This window comes from Homo sapiens, chromosome 6, assembly GCF_000001405.40.
Source record: "Homo sapiens chromosome 6, GRCh38.p14 Primary Assembly".
In the NCBI taxonomy this organism is placed as follows: Eukaryota; Metazoa; Chordata; class Mammalia; order Primates; family Hominidae; genus Homo; species Homo sapiens.
In genome coordinates this window covers 15,280,072-15,306,240 of record NC_000006.12, presented here as the reverse complement: position 1 = coordinate 15,306,240, position 26,169 = coordinate 15,280,072, and the positions used below count along the sequence as shown (strand labels likewise).

At 43.5% G+C, this 26,169-nt stretch overlaps 1 protein-coding gene across 14 annotated transcripts in view, besides 6 other annotated features; it reads right to left on the bottom strand.

The window, feature by feature from the left end:
* The window catches only part of JARID2 (jumonji and AT-rich interaction domain containing 2), a 275,974-nt gene that overhangs the window by 215,802 nt on the left and 34,003 nt on the right, over positions 1-26,169 (bottom strand). The window lies entirely within an intron of this gene.
* Positions 9,211-9,260: an enhancer, noted in NCBI's record as "active region_24071". NCBI's record gives its function as "activates an Ori minimal core promoter by ATAC-STARR-seq in GM12878 lymphoblastoid cells {active_cell/tissue: GM12878}" and the evidence as "EXISTENCE:reporter gene assay evidence [ECO:0000049][PMID:35858748]".
* Positions 9,291-9,380: an enhancer, noted in NCBI's record as "active region_24070". NCBI's record gives its function as "activates an Ori minimal core promoter by ATAC-STARR-seq in GM12878 lymphoblastoid cells {active_cell/tissue: GM12878}" and the evidence as "EXISTENCE:reporter gene assay evidence [ECO:0000049][PMID:35858748]".
* Positions 14,106-14,607: an enhancer, noted in NCBI's record as "H3K4me1 hESC enhancer chr6:15291865-15292366 (GRCh37/hg19 assembly coordinates)". NCBI's record gives its function as "activates a minimal SCP1, AML or CMV promoter by ChIP-STARR-seq in naive H9 embryonic stem cells {active_cell/tissue: H9 hESC(naive)}" and the evidence as "EXISTENCE:reporter gene assay evidence [ECO:0000049][PMID:30033119]".
* Positions 18,376-18,425: an enhancer, noted in NCBI's record as "active region_24069". NCBI's record gives its function as "activates an Ori minimal core promoter by ATAC-STARR-seq in GM12878 lymphoblastoid cells {active_cell/tissue: GM12878}" and the evidence as "EXISTENCE:reporter gene assay evidence [ECO:0000049][PMID:35858748]".
* Positions 18,446-18,495: an enhancer, noted in NCBI's record as "active region_24068". NCBI's record gives its function as "activates an Ori minimal core promoter by ATAC-STARR-seq in GM12878 lymphoblastoid cells {active_cell/tissue: GM12878}" and the evidence as "EXISTENCE:reporter gene assay evidence [ECO:0000049][PMID:35858748]".
* Positions 24,688-25,668: an enhancer, noted in NCBI's record as "H3K4me1 hESC enhancer chr6:15280804-15281784 (GRCh37/hg19 assembly coordinates)". NCBI's record gives its function as "activates a minimal SCP1, AML or CMV promoter by ChIP-STARR-seq in naive H9 embryonic stem cells {active_cell/tissue: H9 hESC(naive)}" and the evidence as "EXISTENCE:reporter gene assay evidence [ECO:0000049][PMID:30033119]".

Here is a 26,169-nt window from a genome sequence, read left to right as displayed (position 1 = left end):
TGTGGATGATGAACTCGACACCAAAGGAGATTGTCCCCCTCAAATCTTAACAACCTAACTGTGACGCACTTAAGAGCGTCTGCCACTTGTGATCTCAAAGTACGAAAAGCTGAAGTTACTTGCCAACAGAAACCCGGGAAAACTGTAAGCCTCGAGGATTGCTGGTAGAGCTTCTAAAAATCTGACGTTTAGAAAGATAGATTTGGTCCCACAAGTGGGCCACCAGAAATGGAACTGAAATTTGTCTCTGCATTTTAAAAACTGTAACCAAAACCACAGATGAATAGTAGAAAACTATTTCCTTACAAAAGTTCAGAATAATGTATTAATGGGTAAGATAATGCATATAACACAAATACCTAAAGATATAGTGAACTCCCTTGTAAATTCATAATACACTGTCCAAGGAATTCACAGGACTTTATTTAAACAGTTAATACATAATACATCTCTCACACACAGAATGTTAACAATTAGATATTGGAGGGGTGCTCCAAAGAGATGGGGGTGGGGAGGAATCAAGGCCAAGAACCCTGAAGACCCCTTGAACTCCATTTATTTTCAGTCAACAATGGTGTCTGCTTCTGCCAAGTACCCAGTGATGAGGCTGTGGTTAGGGGAAAATGAGGTGCTTTTACTCACACATCAGAACCACATTCTAGTTTGAATCTAAACTCATCCACAAATGCAAACAAGAAGAGAAAGAAACAGCACTAAAGAATGAAACCAATTTTAACTCTAAGCTAAGCTATGTTGTAGGGCAAGAGGAGGAGGATGGGGAATGAAATTTAGCGTGGCGAAAACTGGAAACAACCAAAGGCATTCAGCTGCTCAGGAGGCTTTTCCCCTCTCCAAAGTGGAGTGACAGAATTAGCCAGAGCCAGCACCCTCCCTGCACCCTTTTCTCCTGGGGTAGGCCCACAGCGGAGTTGCTCTCTGAATAAGAAATCCTGCATTACGCTACATAAAGGAGGGACAGTGTGCAGGATGACCGGCCAACATCAATCTTCAATGGCCATTTCTTAAAATCCTTCTTCACGTTTTCTTCAACAATACCAGCTACATGGCCAAGATTTAAAAGATGGAAGGCCTTTGACAACTTCCTCAAGCCCAGGCTCATTTACCAGCTGGAAACTGCAGGCAAGAAACCCTGTCCAACCAAAAAATCCCAGACTTGTGCTGGCTCCCAGTGGGCACCCCTCCTGCCAATCAGTGAGAAGAGAAAACTTGGTTGTGGTGACCCCAAAACAAGTCTTAAATGTTCCATCATAACTGGTTGTAAAAAGCAGTCAGCTGAAAGGGCCAATAAAGAGAGCGAAACACATGCTGGAAACAGCTGCTCCACCCCTCCCTGCACCTCACCAAGCAGATAAGATGCACCACCTCAACCTTGCAACCTGATGGTGCCCCCTGCCAGCACTGGACACACCCATGGACTCCCAGGAAAAACAGAAAATGCTCATAATCTAAGAAAGCAGATACTAAGTAAATTGGCCAGAGCTACTGCATTCTCTCTGGATGCAGGGCAGAAATCCTTAAGAGTCACAGAGCAGCCTATGGGTGGATTTTAAAGCCTACAAGGAAACGTTCAATAAATATTTGTTGATTGATTTTTTTAAAGAGATGATTAAAGGGTTAGAGGGGGAAAGGCCATGCTACAAAGGTCAAAAGTAAAGCATCACTCATCTAGATATGGGAGTCTGTGAAGGGCCTTCCGATGATTGTCTGGCTGCTTCAGAGAAGGACTGTAACCATGAGCTGGCTGCTCTCTGGTGTCTGCAACTTGGACGGACTGGGAGAGGTGGCCTGGAGGCTTAGAATCCTCTGGCTTTAGAGTCCTCTAAAAAAAGTGAATAAATTATCACCTCTCCAGATTTTACCAAAAAGTGCAGGTTTAACTAACCAAGTTACAGTGGGTGGGCGGGGGGGGGGGGGGGATCAGCAAATTATGTCCATTCTCTACCACCAGCTCCAGGAGGGAGGAAAAGGAGCAAAAGGAGGCTGGGACAACTGAGGCTGCGCAGCGAGATGGGCAGCTGATCCTGAGGCTCCTGAGCCCTGCGCCCTCAGCTGGTTATCAAGGCTGGTTATTAGCGGGAGTAGCCACTATCACCTGCACTTACTCTAGGACTGTTTACAGCAGTTGACATTTATTACCTCCTTTAATCCCCACAGCAACCCAGACCAAGGTTGAGACTGTGATTATCTCTCAGCTGAAGAAACAGAGGCCCAGAGAACATAAGCAACGTGCCTAGAGTCACACAGCTTAAACGAATTATCACTGTTGTTGAGGTCTCAACCCAGTGCTCCCAACCACTAAATTATGCCCTGGGTTTAATGCTGGTTTCAAGATTACCGATTATTAAACTTGCAGCCAGGATTCGCCCAGGTGAACTAAAAAGAAGGCACCTTACACTAATAATACAAACAGTAACCTCTGCACCTGAAATACCACTGTCAAATTGTTGAAAACTTCTATTTCCTTGTTCAACAAGCTTGTTTTGTTTAATAGTGATTGAGTTTGGGTTTTGTCCTTGGGAGCGGAGGTCAGTATTCAAAGCATTCCCAAATTGTTTAATCACATTGTTGAAATAATAACAAAGGAGGAGCAACTCTTCTCACATTGGGTATTATTTGGCTGGGCAAAGAGGTGAGAAGCATATTAAACAGTGCTTCCAATAAATGTATAGAAAGCCTATGAACAAAAATGTTGGACTTTAAAGAAGCCCTAAGGCTTAAAAAGCACCCACCAAAGAGGGAAGGCCAGGAGTTAAGTGGCTTTGCATGAGAGGCAATAAGCCTCTGGCCAGCCACACTGCCCGTGCAGGATTACTGCCCATAGCCTTGCTACTCAAGGCAAAGCAGTAGCATACTTGGGAGCTTATCTGAAAGGCACACCCTCAGGCCCTGCCTGAAACAGAATGAACCCCAGAATGTGCAACATTTCAACAAGATCCCCAGGTGATGCCTATGAATGTTCAAGTTCGAGGTGCGCTACCTATAGGATGAATGCCTTACATCATCATCACACATTCCACCAGAAAGCTGGTCGAGGAACCAGTTGCTACTAGTTTGTCACAGTAAGACCTAAAATTCTGTAGGCTACCTTTATAAATTATCAATTAGGATTATAATTCCTGGCATAACTTCGAATTTACTCAAAATCCTGTGTCATTTAACTTAATAACCATTGCTCACTTTGAAAAATAACCACCTGGGCCAGGTGCAGTCGCTGATGCCTATAATCCCAGCACTTTGGGAGGCCGAGGTGGGTGGATCACCTGAGGTCAGGAGTTCGAAACCAACCTGAAACCCAGTCTCTACTAAAAAATACAAAAATTAGCTGGGCATGGTGGCAGGTGCCTATAATCCCAGCTGCTTGGGAGGCTGCGGCAGAAGAATCGCTTGAACCCAGGAGGCGGAGGTTGCAGTGAGCCAAGATCACGCCATTGCACTCCAGCCTGGGCGACATAGCAAGACTCCATCTCAAAAAATAAATAAAAAATAAATAACCACCAAATAACCTGTGATCACAATAAACAGATACAAAATGAGGTTATATGTTATCCTTTGCCTTAAGGTTGGCTATCCTAGGCAATGGACAGCCTGATTTAGAAAGAAATTCTCACTTAACTAAAAGTGGGTCACCGTAAAAATTAACAAATCTAGCAAAGTAAGAAAACATGTAAAAGAAAGTACAGTGACCACAATCAATATAAAGCATAGGAATAAATCTTCCTGATTATCAAGGCAAAAACACCATTAGGCTTTGAACTACTAAGTCAACAATGGAAAGCTTTCTCTTCCTTACTCTTTTTTTTTTCCCAAGACAGAGTCTCGCTCTGTCGCCCAGGATGGAGTGCAGTGGCGCAATCTCAGCTCACTGCAACTCCGCTTCCCAGGTTCAGGCGATTCTCCTGTCTCAGCCTCCTGAGTCGCTGGGATTACAGGCGCACGCCACCACGCCCAACTAATTTTTGTATTTTTAGTAGAGATGGGGTTTCAGCACGTTGGCCAGGCTGGTCTCGAACTCCTGACCTTAGGTGATCTGCCCACCTCGGCCTCCCAAAGTGCTGGGATTACAGGCATGAGCCACTGCACCCGGCCTCTTCATTACTCTTCAAGTAACATGTTGGTAATAATGGTAAAATACCTGTAAAATGAAGACTTGAGATCAGGAATCATCATCTTTCATTCAGAAAGATGAAAAGGTATCACGTTTCCCTCCTATGTCCAAAGAGCTATAAACTATTCTTTCTCTTGACATATACTTTTCTGTTAAGTTACCAATGACCAAAAACACATACCAACGTAAAATTCACAAACACTGATCATCTATATTAGTCAAAACTTTTACTGCTCCAGAAAAGTAGTTCTCTTTCCCTATTACAGTCTTAGTCACTATACCAGGCATTTCCTTCTCAAGCTAATAATAAAACATGTTTACCAACATACCAAAGAGGGCAGCCCCATTTACTGATTTGAATTTAATGCTTGAGTATCCACATAATTTTCCTCACGTTTCAAATATACAAGACAACTATTGTTTTTCACTCAGTCTTCCTATCAAATCACTATGGGAAAAGGAAGAGACTTACCCCACAAAAACTACTTTTAAGGACTTACAGACTATTGAGTTAATTCCACAAGAGAAAATAAAATGTGGTCAACAATACTCATTTCATGTAATACTCGCTTAGTGGAAAATGGACTGCAATCATCCATCAGTGTAAGTTAACCTCCACAGTCAATAAATAAACGCCACTTCTAGTCACTCAGATGAAACCCGGGTGAGAGGGCTAGAAAAAAAATAAAGGTATGAATGAGATGTAGTAAACCTCTGAATATCACACTGATGACTGATTTCAAGCCAAAATGTATAGAACTCATGACAGAAAGTGAAATCCACATGATTAATATGGTGTCACTTCCAAATGCATTAAAGGTCTGCTAATACTCTCGGCACTCTGTGAAAAAAGAAAAAAATTTTATAGTAAAGAAGAGCTCAAGTTCCCATTTGCTAACTCAGGTACCACCCTACCATTTTGCAGATTTTCCTCTTTATGTGGCCCTTGCTGTTCCTTTGGAATTTTTAAAGACCTGGGATTTGAGTAATTGTAGCCATTTCTGAAATAGTTATGGACAACCCAGTTACTTATACGCTGCTTTAAACATTTGCTTTTGAGTATCTGGTTTATAGAGAGACTACATTTGCAATCTTACCTAGTTCTTTCATATCCAGAACCTTCTTACCCCAGTATCATTTGCTTGCTGTCTACCAACAGTCACTCATTGATAACTACCACTGATAGAGTGTGGGTAACCTTAACCTTTTTCTGTCACCCTTCCGTCCCAGACCTAAACTTTCCAAGTAAGAATTCAACTTCTGTGCAACACCAGAGTCCTCATGGTTACTGCATCCTGTAACACCTCTAAGAATCATACATAAAGGGGGGACTGCTTGCTCCCTTTCTCCACCCCTCCTCTCTGTCTCTCTCTCTCTCTCTCTCTCTCTCTCACACACACACACACACACACACACACACACACACACACAACATGAGGACACTGGGTCTTTGCAAACAGGTTCTACTGTCCAGTAAGTGGCTAAGAAATTTCATTCATAACTCGAAACAGATAGACTCCAAAATGAGCAATCTATAATTTTAAATGTTGTCATTAGTCTCCTGGCTGCAAGCGGTTAAAGAAGGCCTTGCAAGCTCATGAATTACGGGTACAGTTTATTACTCTGAATGAGCTCACAACAAGCACAGTATCTCAGGAAGATGGGAGGGGAAGGTTTCCAGGCCCAAAAGCTTACATGGAATGCAGCTTAAATGTCACTTATCCAATTGCAGGGGAATGATCCCTTCTACTCCCATGCCCTTCTCCGCTTCCCTCCTTGTACACATGTATTGTTATACACCTTTCCTTAAAATATACATCACACCAGGCTTTGCTCATTAGCCTTAGAGGTTTTTAAGTGTTTACAAGAGAAAAGGTCCTGTGGTCAAAGAATTAAAAACAGGACAGAACACCCATCCAACCTTCACTGCGGAAAATTTTTCCAACAGATTTCTGCCTATCCCAACCCCAAATGCAGGAGATAAAGAAGCACACCCTAAATCAGAGGTTTCTTCTTACAAACACTGGGCCAATGAGAAATCATATTTTGAGCATACATGGCATTCCATGTTGGTCACTCATAGAAGAATGGGGACATTATAACCTTTTGGAGGTTGGGAGGAAACAGGCAGTTCAAGAGATATGCAGAATCCCACATCCACAGGGCCTGAGATACCAACAACACTGGCCGGACAGGACCCCCATTTTCCTAAGGGACAGTGGGTAAAGTACGAGAAAGGATGAAGCAATCATCCTCAAAGCAACCAGGTCAAACTACCAGAAAAAAATGACTCACTGCTAAATATCTTATCTCTTTCACCCACACCCAAGCCCACCCCGCTGAAGTGAGGAAACAGAGGCTGCCTGAGTAGCTTCCGGCCAAATGAGGACCGCTCTGCGAACTGCCACTGAGAACCATCTGTGTGGCGCCCAAACTCTGGTGCAGTGGCTGGAGAAAGGGAACTGAGACACAAGCCACAGGTTTTGGCAGTCTTCTTATTTCCCCCTAACTGGCCTAACTGAGCAGGAAACCAGCAGTTCTCAACGCAGGCCAACTGAGGTTCCAAATCCAACTCTACCTTCTCCAAACTATAAATTCCTTCCTACAGAAAAAGGGATGGCATCTATTTCTGACACAAAGCACAGGAGTCCTGATGAAAAGCTGGGACTCAACAAATGTTTTGGTTCCCTCTGAAACTGCCCCACCACCTCAGTATGCAAGACCTTAACTCATGATCCCAGTCATCCCTTCCTCTACCAAACACACCTCTGTTGTACACACACCTAAAATTTGAGAACCCAATGAAGATTACAAGCTACCTACTGATGCCCTCATCCTTACAAATTAGGTGGTGGCAGCAGGGACAAAAACTACACTCAACGTTCTTTACAAGACTTTGGTCCTTCTCAAAGGAGGCTCCAGAGAACCCTATGTCCAAGGGGTTGTATTCAAAATTAAGGCTCACGGGTCAGTGAAGTTTGACAAATGTCGGGTACAGATAGCCAGGTTTCTTTCCTTCAGATGTGTTCGTGTACACCATGATCCTCTTAGAACCCAAGCACCCCAAAATTATTTCACCACCAAAGCATCCTCTCTGCTCCACCCGCCCCCCACCCCCGCAAATAAAATCATTCTCAGAACACATTTAAGGATACCCAGCACTAACTTCTCTTGTTCTAGTTTGCTAGTGGATTGATTTGGGTCTTTACTGAGAGAAGGGAGTGTTTTTGTAAGTAATACATGTATAAATGTTCACTTTTAAAGATGTAAACTATACTGAGTATGGAGAGTAAAAATATGAAAGTTTATTTTCAGCAGCTCAGGGAAACTGGAAAAGGCAATTATCCTAATCCTCTGAGGTTTCAACCGTACAAATAACAGAAAGTTAACAAAACATAAGAAACTCAAGGAAATTTTTTCTTTTTTTTTTTTTTTGAGATGGAGTCTCACTCTGTTGCCCAGGCTGGAATGCAGTGGCATGATCTCAGCTCACTGCAACCTCTGCCTCCTGGGTTCAAGCAATTCTCCTGCCTCAGCCTCCCGGGTAGCTGGGACTAGAGGCATGCACCACCACACCCAGCTAATTTTTGTATTTTTCCTAGAGGCGGGGTTTCACCATGTTGGCCAGGCTGGTCTCCTGACCTCAGATAATCCATCCGCCTCTGCCTCCCAAAGTGCTGGGATTACAGGCGTGAACCACCGAGCCCGAAAAGATACCCATGGAATTCTGAGTTCTCACTGTAGCAATGAGTGCTCTTGGGAACCTTATCAGAACTGTCATTGCACTAACAACTGCTAATGAAAACTAGCAGTCATTTCTCGCGAAAATATTTTCTTCTCTTTCTAATTTGTTCTCTTTTACTATTTTGCAAGCATAGGAGAGCGGAATCCAGAAGATACTTAATAAAGCAAATTAATCAAATAAAAAGAAATGACTTAAACTACAATTCAAATGCAATTTTGACTGCATTCTGATTACACCATTTTCTATTGCTACATATCAAGAAAAAGTTGGGTAAGCTCCCTAAAATGTCTTGGCTACTATGTTTCTGCTAAAGAGCTCCTAAGAAGAGGAAAGGAAAACATACTACATTTTAAACCTGACTCAATTGTCTTAGATCTACTTGTGCATAGATTTCATTGAATAAATATAAGAGGGCATTAAGAATGTTGTAGTTTCCCAGTCTTTTTTTTTTTCTTTTTCCACTTCCTAAATTTTCTGTACTACACATATGCTGATTTTCAACAGTAAAAATAACATTTTACATTTGTAGAGAAAATCTAGGGTCTACTAAATAATCTAGTACTTGTTTCCACTCTCCTGCTAACTCTGACAGGAGTGTTGTGGGAAACGAAGTCTGAAAAGGATTCAAAGGGGGCTAGGATTTGCCACAGATCCTGTAAAGGAAAGGATGAGGTGAGCTTACCAACCCCACTGAGTAGGGGCCAAACATCCTTAACAAGCTAGTTGCTGGCCAAGCACGGTGGCTCATGCCTGTAAATCCCAGTGCTTTGGGAGGCTGAGGCAGGAGGACTGCTTGAGGCCAGGAGTTCAAGACTAGCCTGGGTAACACAGCGAGATCCCATCCATACAAAAAAACACTTTTAGTTTAAAAAAAAAAAAAAGAGTGCTGTATGTGGAGGTCTGGGAAAGGACCCTGACTTATAAAAACACAACCAGGCCGGGCGGTGGCTCATGCTTGTAATCCCAGGCCGAGGCGGGTAGATCATGAGGTCAGGAGTTCAAGACCAGCCTGGCCAAGACGATAAAACCCCGTCTCTACTAAAAAATACAAAAACTAGCCAGGCGTGGTGGCGGCGCCTATAATCCCAGCTACTCGGGAGGCTGAGGCAGAGAACTGCTCGAACCCAGGAGGTGGTAGTTGCAGTGAGCCAAGATCACACCACTGCACTCCAGCCTGGGCAACAGAGTGAGACTCCTTCTCAAAAAAATTATAATTTAAAAAATAATAATAACCAGATAAGCAGTCAATGAATGACAACTAAAAAGAAATACCTACAAACATCTGGTTGTCACGACACCTATGGAGATGTTTTAGATGACAAGGACAGACTGGAAAGACTGCAGGACTTCTCAGATTCACTGCAGTTACTCAAACTAGGAGGGGACACTCTGAGGATGGAGACAGTCACAGGATGTAAGCAGGAAGCCAAGATAAGGCCACAGGGCCAGCCCTGAGGTGCTATGAATACTGCAGTGGAAACCAAAATGGAAAATGAAATTTAAGAAACAAAACCTTTACAACAGCATCAAAAACCATAAAGTGATCAAGACAGGGGGCTGGGAACACCCAAGATGAGCCTACAACACCTTAATGTGTCTGTCAGGAAGTAAGAGCTCAGAGGACGATGGGGACATGTTACAGGGACACGGGTAGCAGCTTTAAGGCCTCCCAGTATTAGTGTCCTCATTGTTAACTATGGCTTGGGAACAAAATATCCTTAATTTTAGGAAATAGACACTGAAGTATTTGGTGATAAGGGGATATTATATTTGCAACATATTCTCAAATGGTTCAGAATTATAAAAACTATGTGTTGCGGGGAGGATGATGGGGAGGGATAAGGGAGAGAGAATACTGTCACACAAATATGCTATGGTTAACATTTGGGAAAATCTTTGTACTAGGTTTTGCAACTTTTCATTAAAAAACCACTCGTAAAACATAACCACAAACTAAGTAAGAACAAATAAAAAAGTATGAAGGAAGATAAATGCCACCAGGAGCTCTGAGAGATGCAGAGAATATCGTGTTATATTGATTTGCTGCTGCAGTCTTCTCTAGCACAACGTTCAAATACTCCCAAAATGATTCTATTAGAATGCACGCTACAAATGCCCAAGTGCAGCAACTTAGGCTAGGAATTATGCCAAGAATAAAAAAACAATAGCATTTACTTCAAAGAAGTAAAAAATGTTACTGACCAAGGCACTGGTGTTTGATTTTGACTATTTTTAAAGGGAAACATCTTTTCTGGGTTGAGAAGAAGCAAGATCACAAAATAAAGGAGGTTGAAAAAATTACCGAAATACTTTTGTGCACGAGAGTCTAGCCTTACGAAATGGCTGGACAGGTGTAGTCCTTGGTCTTTCTCTGCGTGAGGTATAAAATGGTTTTTAAGTATAAAACCCTGCCAGGCACAGTGGCTCAGGCCTGTAATCCCCGCACATTGGGAGGCCAAGGAGGGTGGATCATGAGGTCAGGAGTTCGAGACCAGCCTGGCCAATATGGTGATGCCCCATCTCTACTAAAATACAAAACTTAGCTGTGCATGGTGGCGCACACCTGTAGTCCCAGCTACTTAGAAGGCTGAGGCAGAAGAATCACTTGAACTCAGGAGGCAGAGGTTGCAGTAAACCGAGGTTGTGCCACTCTACTGCAGCTTAGGTGACAGAGCGAGACTCCGTCTCAAAAATAAATAAATAAATAAATAACCCTAAGTGGCAAAGGGCCTATTCAGTATTGAAACATGTATTTCTGAAACCGGTCTTCATCATACAGCAATCTCCTTCCAATCAAGACTTCCAACAATAAATGCAGTATTCTTTCCATTACATCACAGAGCACCTATGCCAATGCTGAACCACTGTTTTCCGTTGAAATGGCCCTAAAATGCTTTACTCCACAAATCTTATTACCTATATAAATTAACTTCTAATTACTATTAGAAATGACAGGAGCAGTGGCTCACGTCTGTAATCCCAGCACTTTCAGAGGCTGAGGCAGGCGGATCACGAGGTCAGGAGATCAAGACCATCCTGGCTAACACGGTGAAATCCCGTCTCTACTAAAAATACAAAAAATTAGCCGGGCGTGTTGGCGGGCGCCTGTAGTCCCAGCTACTTGGGAGGCTGAGGCAGGAGAATGGCGTGAACCCAGGAAGCGGAGCTTGCAGTGAGCCAAGATGGCGTCACTGCACTCCAGCCTGGGCGACAGAGCAAGACTCCGTCTCAAAAAAAAAAAAAAAAGAAAGAAAAAAAAAAGAAATGACACATCTGGTCACACAAATGGTCTGCATGAAGTAATAAGATGGTTCTATACCAGGCAAAGACCTTGCTAGGCAGTTTCTAATCGCTCTCAGGTTATCTAAATTCTTGAATTTGGATTTATAGGTTTCCTTTTTCAAGAAATTATTAATCCACCAAAAAAGAAAAAGTTATCTCAATTCATTACACTCTCTTCCTAAAACAGCTTCTGCTCCAGGATGCCTGCTCTGTCCCAAGTTCCCAGATATCTTCCAGGAGACAAAGTCCTTCCCTTGTATCACTCACTATATGCAAAACTTGGGTTGAGGCCCTCACACTAAAGTCACACGACATCAGGGATACGCGCCACCCCAGCTTTAAGTGTACAATGTATTGGTTCTACAATTCATTGGTTCTTGACTCCCGACAGAGCAAGTTCTACCTCTCCAGCCTCATCTCCCTTCCATGTCCTGCATCAACCTCCCCACTCCAGCAAATCTGTATGTGATGCACACGCACACACAACACTGCACTGGGCCCTGCACTTTCACTCCTCCTCACTTGCTAGGGTAAGCAGGTTTTCACTCTGCTTCTCTAACCTTGTGACCTGTTACCTAATTTCTTCTCATCCTTTAAAAGGCACTGCAATGGCTCATGCCTGAATCCCAGCACTTTGGGAGGCCAAGGTGGGCGGATCACGAGGCCAGGAGATCGAGACCATCCTGGCTAACACGGTGAAACCCTATCTCTACTAAAAATACAAAAAATTAGCCGGGTGTGCTGGCACGCACCTATAGTCCCAGCTGCTCGGGAGGCTGAGGCAGAAGAATCGCTTGAACCCGGGAGGTGGAGGCTGCAGTGAGCCAAGATCACACCATTGCACTCCAGCCAGCCTGGCAACAGAGCAAGACTCCATCTCAAAAAAAGAAAAAAAGGGCACTCCCTTCCCTCTGGGGTGCACCTAACCTAAAGTGGTTGGCCTTCCTTTTCCTGGAAGCTTTCAAAAGGGTCTGTGCAAGTCCCTCACTTCACTGACCATACTATAAGGGGCAGCTGTTGCCTATTATTGGAAGTAGAAGTCCTGACTACTGCAACTTGGCATAGGAGTCACAAAGGAAAATGGCAATGTCAAACACTGGATCAAACAATGCTTTACTCACACAGAAAAGAGATAGAGAAAGATCAACTTCCGGAGCAGGCATTGGTGCCCTGTGACCAGCAGGTCCCTCCTGGCAGCCAATGCCAGGCCACTGGCCTGCATGCAACCCTTTTGTGTTCAGAGGACAAATATAGCAGAGGAGTTGGCCAGATGCTATGACATACCCACTTAAGCAGAACAACAAAAGAGCACAAATTGATTCTGAAACAGGGAGACACATTCCCACAGAAAGTGAGAAATCCGGCACAGGCTGTGAGGACTCTTCATCTTCTGGTAAGGAAGCATCCAGTCTCAAGGACCATTCTTAGGAGGTCAAGAGAGGTCAAGTCTGCCTGTATGACACTGCCTAATACCAATGATCAGTTTGTATACCTGTCTCCCTGGCTAGGAACAACCTTCTGAAAAATTCTAAGAACTCAGTGTTTACTAAATAAATAGAAATACATTTAACAAGGCCTTATCACAAACATTTACAACATCCGTTCAAAAATTCTGCCCACTAATTCCTTCATCTGTCCCTTCAAAGAGCTAGCAGGTTTTTTGGGTTTTTGTTGAGATGGAATCTTGCTCTATCACCCAGGCTGGAGGGCAGTGGCACCATCTCAGCTCACCGCAAGCTCCACTTCCTGGATTCAAGCTATTCTCCTGCCACAGCCTCCCCAATAGCTGGGATTACAGGTGCCCACCACCACGCCAGGCTAATAAGGGCCTGTGCAAATCCCTCAGTTCACTGACCATACTGTAAGTGGCAGGTGCTGCCTATTATTGGAAGTAGAGGTCCTGACTACTGCAACTTGGCATAAGCGTCACACAGGAACATGGCAAAGTCAAGCACTGGATCAAACAATGCTTTACTCACACAGAGAAGAGACAGACAAAGATCAACTTCCCAAGCAGGCACTGGTGCCCTGTAAAACTTTTTATAGTTGCATTTACACATAAGTCTTTCTAAAGGTGTCCTGCCTTTAGTTCAAACTAAAAAAATATTACAACTTAGGCTGGGCATGGTGGCTCATGCCTCTTGTAATCTCAGCAATTTGGAAGGTGGAGGCAGGAGGATCGCCTGAGGCCAAGAGTTCAATACCAGATTAGACAACATAGGAAGATCTCGTGTCTACAAAAAATAAAATAAAATTAGCTGGGAATGGTGGCGCACACCAATGGTTCCAGCCACTCAGGATGCTGAAGTGGACGATCACTTAACCCCGGGAAGCAAAGGTTGCAGTGAGCCAAGATTGTGCTACTGCATTCCAGCCTGGGTGACAAGAGTGAGACTCGTCTCAAAACATAAACAAATACATAATATTACAACTTAAACTTTCTTAAACTAAAATTAGCTCTGGTTCCATTTTTAATATTTAAATGTTACAGTGGGCCCTGGGGTGCTCTCTGAGCCTCACCGGGACTCAGGAGTGTTACATTTCTGGCAAATCATTTGTCAAAATACAACAGAAGACTTTAAGATGTCTATTTCCATTGACCCAGAGATTCCATATTTGATAATCCATCCTAAGAAAACACAAATCTTTAAACATTGTGTAATAGTTAAAGAAAACTGCAGTTGTACATTCACTGTATAGAAAATTACATACCTGTTAAAATTGCTATTATGGAAAAAAAGGACACAGAAATCAAATAAAAAGCTTCAGCTGGGCGCGGTGTCTCACGCCTGTAATCCCAGCTCTTTGGGAGGCTGAGGCGGGCGGATCACGAGGTCAGGAGATCGAAACCATCCTGGCTAACACAGTGAAACCCCGTCTCTACTAAAAATACAAAAAAAAAAATTAGCCGGGCGAGGTGGCGGGCGTCTGTGGTCCCAGCTACTCGGGAGGCTGAGGCAGGAGAATGGCGTGAACCCGGGAGGCGAAGCTTGCAGTGAGCCGAGATGGCGCCACTGCATTCCAGCTTGGGCGACAGAGCAAGACTCAAAAAAAAAGCCTAATCACACAGACCTACAACATCCATTATGAAACCTAAATCGAAGGGCATTTGTTTCAGAAAAGATGGCAATGAGAGAGGTTTCAAAAAATTTGTTATTATGGAACATATGTAATAACATAAGAAAATGCTATGACACTGTCCAGTAAAAAAATAGAAAAACAAAAATTGTATATACAGTAGGAGTACAAAAATATTTGAATGGAAGGAAAGAACAACTATAAAAAAATTACAGCAAAATATTTACAACATTTGTGTGGGGTAGTGGAACAAGGGATTAACTTCTTTTCTCCATTTCTGTGGTTTCTGTGTTACTTCTAGAGAAAACAACATTTTAGAATATGCATGTAGGCACCGTGCAAGAGACGGTGTCCCACCACTACTGGGCTGGAAGGGTCTGGCTGCGCATCCCACACACTGCTCCTGAATGCAGCGATTCTGGCCTAGCAGGATCCCTGCAGCATCCCTTCACTGCAGGGCCAAGGCTCCTCCTCTCATCCAAGAAACTCCCCTTCTTCATTTAAGCGCTCCTTCAAGCCTGACGCAGGCTGAGAAACCAGATTAGTTAGGTCACTGAGAACAGGAGGGGAAAACAGATTGTGCCCCTAACAACTTCACTTCACTGTAATAGCAAGCTATACCATGTGTGAAAAGTGAGGGATTTTTTTGTTAGGTCCATAACTTCAGGAAGATGAGTAAAGGAGCATTTTTAAACTAAGAGGAGATGATAAACACATTCACCAAGATGGTTTTCATTAACTATACACTTCTTCTCATGTGAATTTTTATTTTTTTGAGACAGGGTCTCGCTCTATTACCCAGGCTGGAATGAAATGGTGCAATCACGGCTCACAACAGCCTTGAACTCCTGGGCTCAAGCAATCTCCCACCGCAACGTCCTGAGTAACTGAGACTACAAGCATGCACCGCCACGGCTGATTAATTTTTTTTAATTTTTGGTGGAGACACAGTTTTGCTATGTTGTCCAGGCTGGTCTCAAACTCCTGAGTTCAAATGATCTCGCACTGCCTCAGCCTCCCAAAGGGCTGGGCTTACACACAGCACCTGGCCTCGTGAATTTTCAAAATATTTTTAAACATCCAAAAACTAGGCCAGGCTCAGTGCCTCACGCCTGTAATCCCAGCACTCTGGGAGGCCGAGGCAGGCGGATCACGAGGTCAGCAGATCGAGACCATACTGGCTAACATGGTGAAACCTCATCTCTACTAAAAATACAAAAAAAATTAACTGGGCGTGGCGGTGGGCGCCTGTAGTCCCAGCTACTCAGGAGGCTGAGGCAGGAGAATGGCATGAACCCGGGAGGTGGAGCTTGCAGTGAGCCAAGATTGTGCCACTGCACTCCAGCCTGGGTGACAGCGCAAGGCACTGTCTTGGGGGGGAAAAAAACATCCAAAAACTATTCAGCAACCCTTCATCACATGAGATTGATTCTGGCCAAATACTAACCCTACAAACTGTGTACAGAAAGCAGTCAGGCTGACAATACCAAGCTGTCAAGGATGTGGAACAACTGGAACACTTGCAAAATGGTTCAAGGACATTGGAGAAGTGTGGCAGTTTCTTATAATCCTCAACAAAGACTACTTTATGGCCCAGCAATTACACACCTAAGTATTTACCCACAAGAAAGGAAAACATGACTACAAAGAGTCTTGAACACTAATGTTCACAGCAATAACAGCCAAAAATGGGAAACAATCTAAAGTTTATCAGCCAGCACATCAATAAATTGTGGTATGTCCATACGATGAAGTATTATTTGGCAATGAAATGAAATGAACTGATAAATACAACAACATGAATAATCTGAGACCATTATGCTGAAAATAATGGACAAGCTATAGTGACAGATATCAAAACAGTGGCTGGGAGGGGATGAGGAAACACATTTGGAGTAATGAAAATATTCTCTATTTCAATTGGGTGGTGATTACATAGGTATGTATAATTAACAAAACTGTATGCTTGAAATGGGTGCATTTGACTGTCAATTATACAGCAATAGAAGCTCACTAATTTGTCTGAGAAAAATTTAAAATCTTCTCCCTCCTTCTTTCCATGAAGACAAGTGGTTTAGTGACTTGTACATTCCACAATTTTGCCAAGTGCAATACACAGTGCTTCTTGTCCCAATTATATCATGTTTTTTATTTTTGTTTTTTTGAGACAGAGTCTCACTCTCTCACCCAGGCTGGAGTGCAGTGGCACCATCTCAGCTTACTGCAACCTCCGCCTCCTGGGTTCAAGTGATTCTCCTGCCTCAGCCTCCTGAACAGCTGGGATTACAGGAATACACCACCACGCCCGTGTGTATTTTTAGTAGAGACAGGGTTTTACCTTGTTGACAAAGCTGGTCTCAAACTCCTGACCTCAAGTGACCCACCTCATCCTCCCAAAGTGCTGGGATTACAGATGTGACTCACTGCGCCCGGCCTTAAAACATGGTTTTTTTTTTTTACAATTTAAAGAGTAAGAAGGGGCTGGGCAGTGGCTCATGCCTGTAATCCCAGCACTTTAAGAGGCCGAAGCGGGAGGATTGCTTGAGCCCAGGAGTTTGAGACCAGCCTGGGCAACACAGCAAGACCTGTCTCTATTTTAATATAATAGTAACAAACGATTTAAAAAATAGAAGAATTGGCTTTATGTAACAAAATAAAAGATTTTCTTTTTAGACAGTTACCCACAAAAGAAGGACACCAGACTACTGCTGACAGTGTTCTGCATGCACCATTCTTAACTATTTTTCATTATTCTTTTTTATTTATTTATTTTGCTCTCGCCCTGCCTTATGGTGCTGACTCTTCATTATTCTTGTGTCCCTCGATGCTTCCCTTGGACTTACCCTTCTGCTGGAGGAAATCATATTCACTTCTTCAAGCCCCAGCTCAAGTGCCACCTCGTTGGATTAACTGTTAACGGGGTTTCACCAACCCCAATCAAGATCATTCATTTGTCTGTGCTGTCCCCAGTGGTGACACTTCTCCTCCCTCCGTGGCTTGGACAACCACCCCTGCTCCTTGCCCCCAGTCCCTCAGTCTGAGCTCCACTATCCACTGCTCACTAACGAGAGAAGCTGACTCATCTCCGGCTTGGGTACCAGAGCTTACTAGCTGCTTTAAGGGTAGACCCTTCTTCACCTCGCCAGGAGGCAAAATCCAAGTAAGATTCACCATTGTAACCCCACAGGGCCTAGTTATGCCCTACAATAAGATCTCCTTTAACTGTAGAGAGAAGAAAAAGACTTCAATAGAAGCTCAAAGGGGTCTTAGGAGGGAACTCCCTCATTTTTGCAAAGGATCAAGCTGAGGCCTGAATAAAGTACACACTGATATAATACATGTGAAACATACTGGCCACTTACTATGTGTGAGCCACTGAGAAACAATCAGACTATCTTCATATAAACTATAAACAGCTAACATATAAAATCCCACCCTTGTGGATCTTATATTCCACTGCAAAGATTCAGACAAACAAGTAATAACGTTGGGCACTCGCTTGATATAGTTCAGATATTTGTCCCCACTCAAATTTCATGTTGAAATGTAATGTCCAGTGTTGGGGGACAGGGCCTGGCAGGAAGTGTCTGGGTCATAGGGGTGGATCCCTCATGGCTTGGTGCTGTCCTAGCAATCGTGAATGAGAGTTCTTGTGATATCTGGGTGTTTAAAAATTGTGTGGCATCTCCCCTTTTCTCCAACCCCCACCTCCTGACCATGTGAGGTGCCTGCTCCCACCCCTCCCACCTTCTGCCATGAGCAAAAACTCCCAGAGGCTTCCCCAGAAGCTAAGCAGCCATGTTTTGTGTACAGCCTGCAAACTAAGAGCCAATTAAACCTCTTTTCTTTATAAATTACCCAATCTGAGGTATTCCTTAGAGCAATCCAAGAATGGCCTAATATGCCACCATACCACCAATGTGCCTTCCCCTTTGCCGTGGTGGTCACTCTTTGGGACTGTCACACCTCCTGAGCTTTTCTCACAAGCTTTGTTCCATCTGCCTCAACTGCTATTTGTGTCATCCAAGATACAAGTATTCAAAGGCTGCCTGTGACACTGTGCTAGGTACTGGCAGATCAACGGTAAATGGGGCAGAAACAGTCACCACACCCCGAAAGCTCACAGAGCTCACAAATGGGGAAGTGGGTATTATACAATGCTTTTCATAAATGTCCATGATTCAAAGTGCTGAAATGAGTAGAGGGTGCAGCTATGGGCATGTTTAACATGGGCTCCTAACCTAGACATGTCTCCTCGAGGAAATGACACCGAAGCTAAGGCCAAGGTAAGACTCCCCTGACAACAGTGGGATAGCTCCAGACAAAGGCAGCAACTGCAGGAAGAAGGAAAAGAGATTCTCAGAGGTTCTGAAGTCTGTGAACTTGAATAGGGAAACAGTCCCATATTCACTTTCACCAATCTCTTGCTGAAATGTAACATTCCCTTATATTTTGAATATACGCCACACACCAAAAATGTAATTCTGTGTGAGTTTGGTATCAACACAAAAAATTGCAAATACTCTTATACTGATTTACAGTGGTTGCAGATTATCTTGAAATAACATCATTATTTTAAAATTACAATAATTAGACCCACTATGAGGACTTGTTATTCAACAAAGGACAAAGAAACATATTACCATATCACAAATTTGTTCTTTATCATTTTGATGGCTATATTTCAATGTCATGGGTCCCCTCTGTAATCCTGGGTATTTTACTTAAAAAAGTATTTGGAAATATTTTAAGAAGGGGTCACACATTTCACCCGATTGCAAAAGCACTTTTAGGAAAAAGAACCTATGATTAGAGAACAAGGAAAGAAAGGATCAAGAGGGGTTTTTTTGTTTGTTTGTTTGTTTGTGTTTTCTTTTTTTTTGAGATGAGAGTTTCACTCTTGTTGCCCAGGCTGGAGTTCAATGACGCCATCTGGGCTGACCGCAACCTCCGCCTCCCAGGTTCAAGCCTCAGGTTCAAGATTATCCTGCCTCAGCCTCCGGAGTAGCTGGGATTACAGGCGCCTGCCACCACAGCCAGCTAATTTTGTATTTATTATTTTTCTGACAATGGGAAAGAGGCAGCAGTTGTAATATGGATGGCTGTTATTCCTATTACCTTCTATTAAGAGGCGCTTTTTTTTTTTTTGAGATGGAGTCTCGCTCTGTCGCCCAGGCTGGAGTGCAGTGGCATGGTCTCGGCTCACTGCAAGCTCTGCCTCCCGGGTTCACGCCATTCTCCTGCCTCAGCCTCCCAAGTAGCTGGGACTACAGGCGCCTGCCACCACACCCAGCTAATTTTTTTTGTATTTTTATTAGAGACGGGGTTTCACCGTGTTAGCCAGGATGCTCTCGATCTCCTGACCTCGTGATCCGCCCGTCTCGGCCTCCCAAAGTGCTGGGAATACAGGCGTGAGCCACCACGCTCTGCCAGCAAAATTTCAATCGAAACACTGCAATGAGCCGGGCACTGTACCTCATGCCTGTAATCCCAGCACTTTGGGAGGCCAAGGCGGGTGGATCATGAGGTCAGGAGTTCAAGAACAGCCCGGTCAACATGGTGAAACCCCGTCTCTAGTAAAAATACAAAAATTAGCCGGGTGTGGTGGTGGGCACCTGTAATCCCAGCTACTCGGGCGGCTGAGGCAGAGAATCATTTGAATCCGGGAAGCAGAGGTTGCAGTGAGCCGAGATCACACCACTGCACTCCAACTCGGGTGACAAAGTGAGACTTCATCTCAAAAAAAAAAAAAAAGAATTCTTCCAATTATAAAATTAGATTGCTATTCTAACTCACATTCTATTATTGAAGTCTCACATTTTCAAAGAAAGCATTTCTGTTGTTTGTACTTGTTAACTTACTTAGCCACTCACCCAAAGGAGAGTCAAGCAATTGGCTTGTAGATGGCGCTACTGCACTCCAGCCTGGGAGACAGAGTGAGACTCAGGAAACAAACAAACAAGAAAAAGGAAACACTGCACTGAAAGGAAAAACTTCAAACTTCATATAACCAAGTTACAAAGAATAATCCCACTGCTCATAGTTATACATCAGAAATTGCAGGTTGTTGAGTCAACCACTGTCAACCTGCTGCTCTTTCATCAAGTGGGCTTTAAAATACAAGTGTGATACATAATGCATGTTTTATGCCAGCAAAATTCCTTTATACAAGATTCCAAAGGCTCTCCAAATTCTTTTATTGCAAGATGAATTTTTTTAAAAGGATGCATGGCTAGAAATCACACTTACTGTATGCAATGTGGAATGACTTACGAGATGCTGCCTTCTTTTCTAGAATTGTTATCCTCTAACCTCGTTTATTGGGGAACATGTTAGAGAACTAGAAAAGGTCTCAGGAATAAAAAGCAATTTCAAAGTCCACGCATGAAAGCAATGATACCCTCTATCTGGGTTTAACTTTACCTCATGTTATATATATATATATGTATTTTTTTCCTTATTTGTCATTTTTAAGTCATTCTATGACCAGATGTTTAACTTTACTTCACAAAGTAATAACCTAGTTAACTGACTTCCCATATTGTAATTAATTGCATAATGAAAATATACTTAAAGTACACTGACGGCTGGGCGCGGTGGCTCACGCCTGTAATCCCAGCACTTTAGGAGGCCGAGGCAGGCGGATCACCTGAGGTTAGCAGTTGGAGACCAGCCTGGCCAACATGGTAAAACCCAGTCTCTACTAAAACAAACAAACAAAAAATACAAAAATTAGCTGGGCGTGGTGGCAGGTGCCTGTAATCCCAGCTACTCAGGAGGCTGAGGCAAGAGAATCGCTTGAACCCCAGAGGCGGAGGTTGCAGTGAGCCAAGATCGTGCCATTGCACTCCAGTCTGGAGAACAAGAGCAAGACTTCCTTTCAAAAAAAAAAAAAAAAAAAAACCCAGAAAGACTCACATTAATGCAAAAGTTCAATTCAATGCAATTGTTCTGAAATGTTTTCAAAGCAGTTACATCATTTAAAAGAAATTTCATGAATGCTAAATATGTACAACAGATGAGAGCAAGCAGTGACTGCAATCCAGGTGAGGGGCGCAGAGCCAGTTCTTAGGGTGACTCTACCAGACCCAACTAAAGCTGTTTGTTGAAGGGCAAGCTCCTAGCTTTATGTTTGCTGCCTTTCAAAAGTAAACACAATAGCATAATGGATGTTAACTCTTTTTCAACCTTATTTTGTCCTTTCTTATGAAGGATTATAAAACAGCCAGGCACAGTGGCTCACACCTGTAATCCCAGCACTTTGGGAGGCTGAGGTGGGTGGATCACCTGAAGTCAGGAGTTCAAGACCAGCCTCGCCAATATGGTAAAACCCCGTCTCTACTAAAAATACAAAAATTAGCCAAGCGTGTTGGCAGGCGCCTGTAATCCCAGCTACTTGGGAGGCTGAGGCAGGAGAATCGCTGGAACCCGGAATCGCGCCATTACACTCCAGCCTGGGAAACAAGAGCAAGACTTCGTCTCAAAAAAAAAAAAAAAAGGATTATAAAACTAAAAGGGAATTTACCTAGATTTTTATTTAAGTGGATCCTGAGTCTGGGAACTCTGGAGTATAGCCCAGAGCTGTTTCCTATATATCCATGGGATGTATGAAAACATTATTTAACACAGAATACTGATGGACATAACAATCAATGTATGCCAAGACTTGAAAAATTACACCATTTGGGACTTCAACAGGAATAAACCCTAAGACATCCATAATATGTGGCTGAAAGAAGAAATCATTTTTGAGGATTCCAGAGAAGTAAATTCCATATCAATTTAGTGGGTAGGGTGATGGGAGAGTGCAAGCTGGAGGGTGGTGTTTAGCTCAATGGGAGGTAATAAAAAGAAAGATAATTTCTCAGAACATTTTCGTATTCTTGGCGTCACAGAAGCATTCCTAAGCAAAGACATAAAACCCATAAAAGAAAACCAAACTGAACTACAGAAAAATTTAAAACTTCTATGAAAGAAAAAACACTATAAACATACTTAAAGGAGGCTGGATGCAGTGGCTCACGCCTGTAATCCCAGCACTTTGAGAGGCTGAGGCTGGCAGATTATGAGGTCAGGAGATGGAGACCATCCTGGCTAACATGGTGAAACCCCATCTCTACTAAAAATTCAAAAAAAATTAGCCGGGCATGGTGGCAGGCGCCTGTAGTCCCAGCTACTCAGGAAGCTGAGGCAGGAGAATGGCATGAACCCAGGAGGTGGAGCTTGCAGTGAGCCGTGATCGCGCTACTGCACTCCAGCCTGGGCAACAGAGTGACACTCCATCTCAAAAAAAAAAAAAAAAAATACTTAAAGGACAATGGACAGACTAGAAGAAAATATTTGCAACATATTTAATAAATATCAGAATGGCCGGGCACGGTGGCTCACGCCTGTAATCCCAGCACTTTGGGAGGCCCAGGCGGGCGGAGCACAAGGTCGGCAGATCGAGACCGTCCTGGCTAACACGGTGAAATCCCGTCTCTAATAAAAATACAAGAAAATTAGCCGGGCGTAGCTGGTGCATGCCTGTAGTCCCAGCTACTCGGGAGGCTGAGGCAGGAGAATGGCATGAACCCAGGAGGTGGAGCTTGCAGTAAGCCGCGATCACGCTATTGTGCTCCAGCCTGAGCCACAGAGTGAGACTCCATCTCAAAAAAAAAAAAAAAAATACTTAAAGGACAAAGGACAGACTAGGAGACAATATTTGCGACATATTCAATAAATACCAGAACGGCCGGGCGCAGTGGCTCACACCTGTAATCCCAGCACTTTGGGAGGCCAAGGTGGGCAGATCACAAGGTCGGCAGATCGAGACCGTCCTGGCTAACACGGTGAAACCCCGTCTCTAATAAAAATACAAAAAATTAGCCGGGCGTGGTGGCGGGCGCCTGTAGTCCCAGCTACTCGGGAGGCTGAGGCAGGAGAATGGCAAGAACCCGGGAGGCAGAGCTTACAGTGAGCCAAGATCGCGCCACTACACTCCAGCCTGGGCAACAGAGTGAGACTCCGTCTCAAAAAAAATAAAAAAAATAAAAAAATAGATAGATAGATAGATTTCAGGAACATGAAGTGCTCTGACAAAAAGTCATAAGAAAAAGACCAACAATCAGACCGGGCGGGGTGGCTCACGCCTGTAATCCCAGCACTTTGGGAGGCCGAGGTGGACCGATCACTTGAGGTCGGGAGTTCAAAACCAGCCTGACCAACATGGAGAAACCCTGTCTCTACTAAAAATACAAAATTAGCTGAGCATGGTGGCGCATGCCTGTAATCTCAGCTACTTGGGAGGCTGAGGCAGGAGAATAGGAACCCAGGAGGTGGAGGTTGCGGTGAGCTGAGATCTCGCCATTGCACTTCAGCCTGGGCAACAAGAGCGAAACTGAGGAAAGAAAAGAGAAGAGAAGAGGAAGAAAGAGAGGAGAGGGGGAGAGACAAAAGAGAAAGAGAGAAAGACAAAGACAGAGAGAGAAAGAGAGAGAACAAAAGAGAGAGAGAAAGAAACCAACAACCCAATATAATAGTGGATAAAAGTTATGAAGAAAAAAAATATGGACAGCTGACAGACCAACGAAAAAGGCTGAGAACAGAGAAATGCAAATTAAGACAATGATGAGTGATATTTATTAGCAAAAACCAAAGAAGCTGTATAATGCTAAGTGTTGGCAAGAAGGGAGGAAAATAAAGACTCTCATATGCTGTTAGTGGGTGTGTAGATTGGCTGAAGGTTTTCGGAAGGAAAAAATTTCTTCCTACTCTAAAACAGCACATGACAGGCGCTGTGGCTCACGCCTGTAATCTCAGCACTTTGGGATGCCAAGGTGGGCGGATCACCTGAGACCAGGAGTTCAAGACCAGCCTGGGCAACATGGTGAAACCTGGTCTCTACTTAAAATACAGAAATTGGTCGAGCATGATGGTGCACTGCACACCTGTAGTCCCAGCTACCACACAAGAATGGTCTGAACTCGGGAGGCAAAGGTTACAGTTCGCTGAGATCATGCCACTGCACTCCAGCCTTGGCAACTGAGCAAGACTCTGTCTCAAACACACACACACACACACACACACACACACACACACACACAGAGCACATACCCTGGACCCTGCACTTCCAATTCAATCATATGCTAATATTACCATATGTTTGAAAGGTGTATGGACAGAAATGTTTTAAAGCAAACAAAACAGCATGAACAACCTAAAGGTCTACTGAGTGCCTCCTAAATGCCAAGGACTCTTCTAGGAAGAAAGTCATCAGAAGGAAGTGGCTAAATAAACTACAGTACACTAGTCCTATCAGCTACTTGCAGCATGAAATAGAATGGCATGGAAAGATCTTTGAGATATTGTTACGTGAGAAAAAGCTAAATCACAGGCCATAACCTTACATTCCATTTATATAAATAGGCCCCAAGTGAAGTGGGGGGCCCCCCACGCGGGGAACCCATCTGTATGTTTACATAAACATGCATGTATGCAGGTAAATACACAGAAAGGCTAGAAGGATGTGCAAACCACTGATGGCTTACTTTTGAGGAAGGCAGTACAATAGGAGATAAGGGGACTTCAGATTTTGCTCTGAACATTTCTGAAACTGATCTTGAATGTTGTTTGTGAATTCACACATACCACAATGTATTCACGTTCTTTTGCTCTTGGACAAAGTTATTATCTTAATAGCATCACATGAATTAAACTGCAGTAAAGAGTGAGACACAGCCAGTGTGGGTCAAATCCAAAATGACTTCGTAGTTCACCTAGCCAAACCAGTTCCTTATTAGAATAAAAGGGTTGCAACCAGCATGCCCTCCAAGTGGTATATGCGCACTGACTGGAAGCTGCATCTCACATGCGTATTGGGCTCTCCCACGCTTATACACACCAAACACTGACACACTGAAACTTTCTAACATACCTGCAAACCTGTCAAATACCAGCTAATGCATGAAAACTCCCAGTTATCACTCATATGACGGCACGGTGTGATACCTGCTTGGATTTCCTAGCTAGTAATAACGCAAGCGTATTTTGCAGCATAAGACAAAAATCACAAAAAGGCAAAAATCACATGTTAAGGGGCTGGCCAGGCACGGTGGCTCATGCCTGTAATTCCAGCACTTTGGGAGGTCAAGGCAGGAGGATAACCTGAGGTCAGGAATTCAAGACCAGCCTGGCCAACATGGTGAAACCCCATCTGTAATGAAAATACAAAAATTAGCCAGGGGTGGTGGCTCATTCTTGTAATCCCAGCTATTCGGGAGGTTGAGGCAGGAGAACTGCTTGAACTCAGGAGGCAGAGGCTGCAGTGAGCCTAGATCACATCGCTGCACTCCAGCCTGGGCAACAGAGCGAGACTCCATCTCAAAAAAAAAAAAAAAAAGCAGGGTGTGGGGATAAGGCTTTACCTTTACTTAGCATTTTGTGGTTAACAAGAAACTGTACTACTGAATTAACTGCCTCAACATGGATTCAAACACCCTATTTTAAGATTACTACCAACAATAACTCCACATAAAGAATGTAAAAGGCTGGATCTTTGTTCCTTTCACTGACATCTTAGCTGAATCTTTATGATCTTTTTTAATGCAGGAGGAGGAAGGAACACGGAAGAAAATTACAGGAACAAGAATATCCAAAACTTAATTTTTTTCTAAATTGGAAGGGAAAAAACCGAGAAACTAATTTCTCAACTTGGCCCTGCTTTAGTTTAACTCGAACGAATTTAGAGAAGCAACATTACTACATCTGAAAGAGAGCCAACATTTACTTTGGCAGAAAAAAACCCAAGTCACTGAAGTTTTTTTTTATTACTACTGAAGTGCTGCAGCAGGAGCAACAGCATGTTTATTTTACCCTTTTTTAATGGATAACCAAGAGCACTATTTCAAAATTTCCAAAGTCACGGATTTGACAGAAGAAAGTAGACAATGGGTAATAT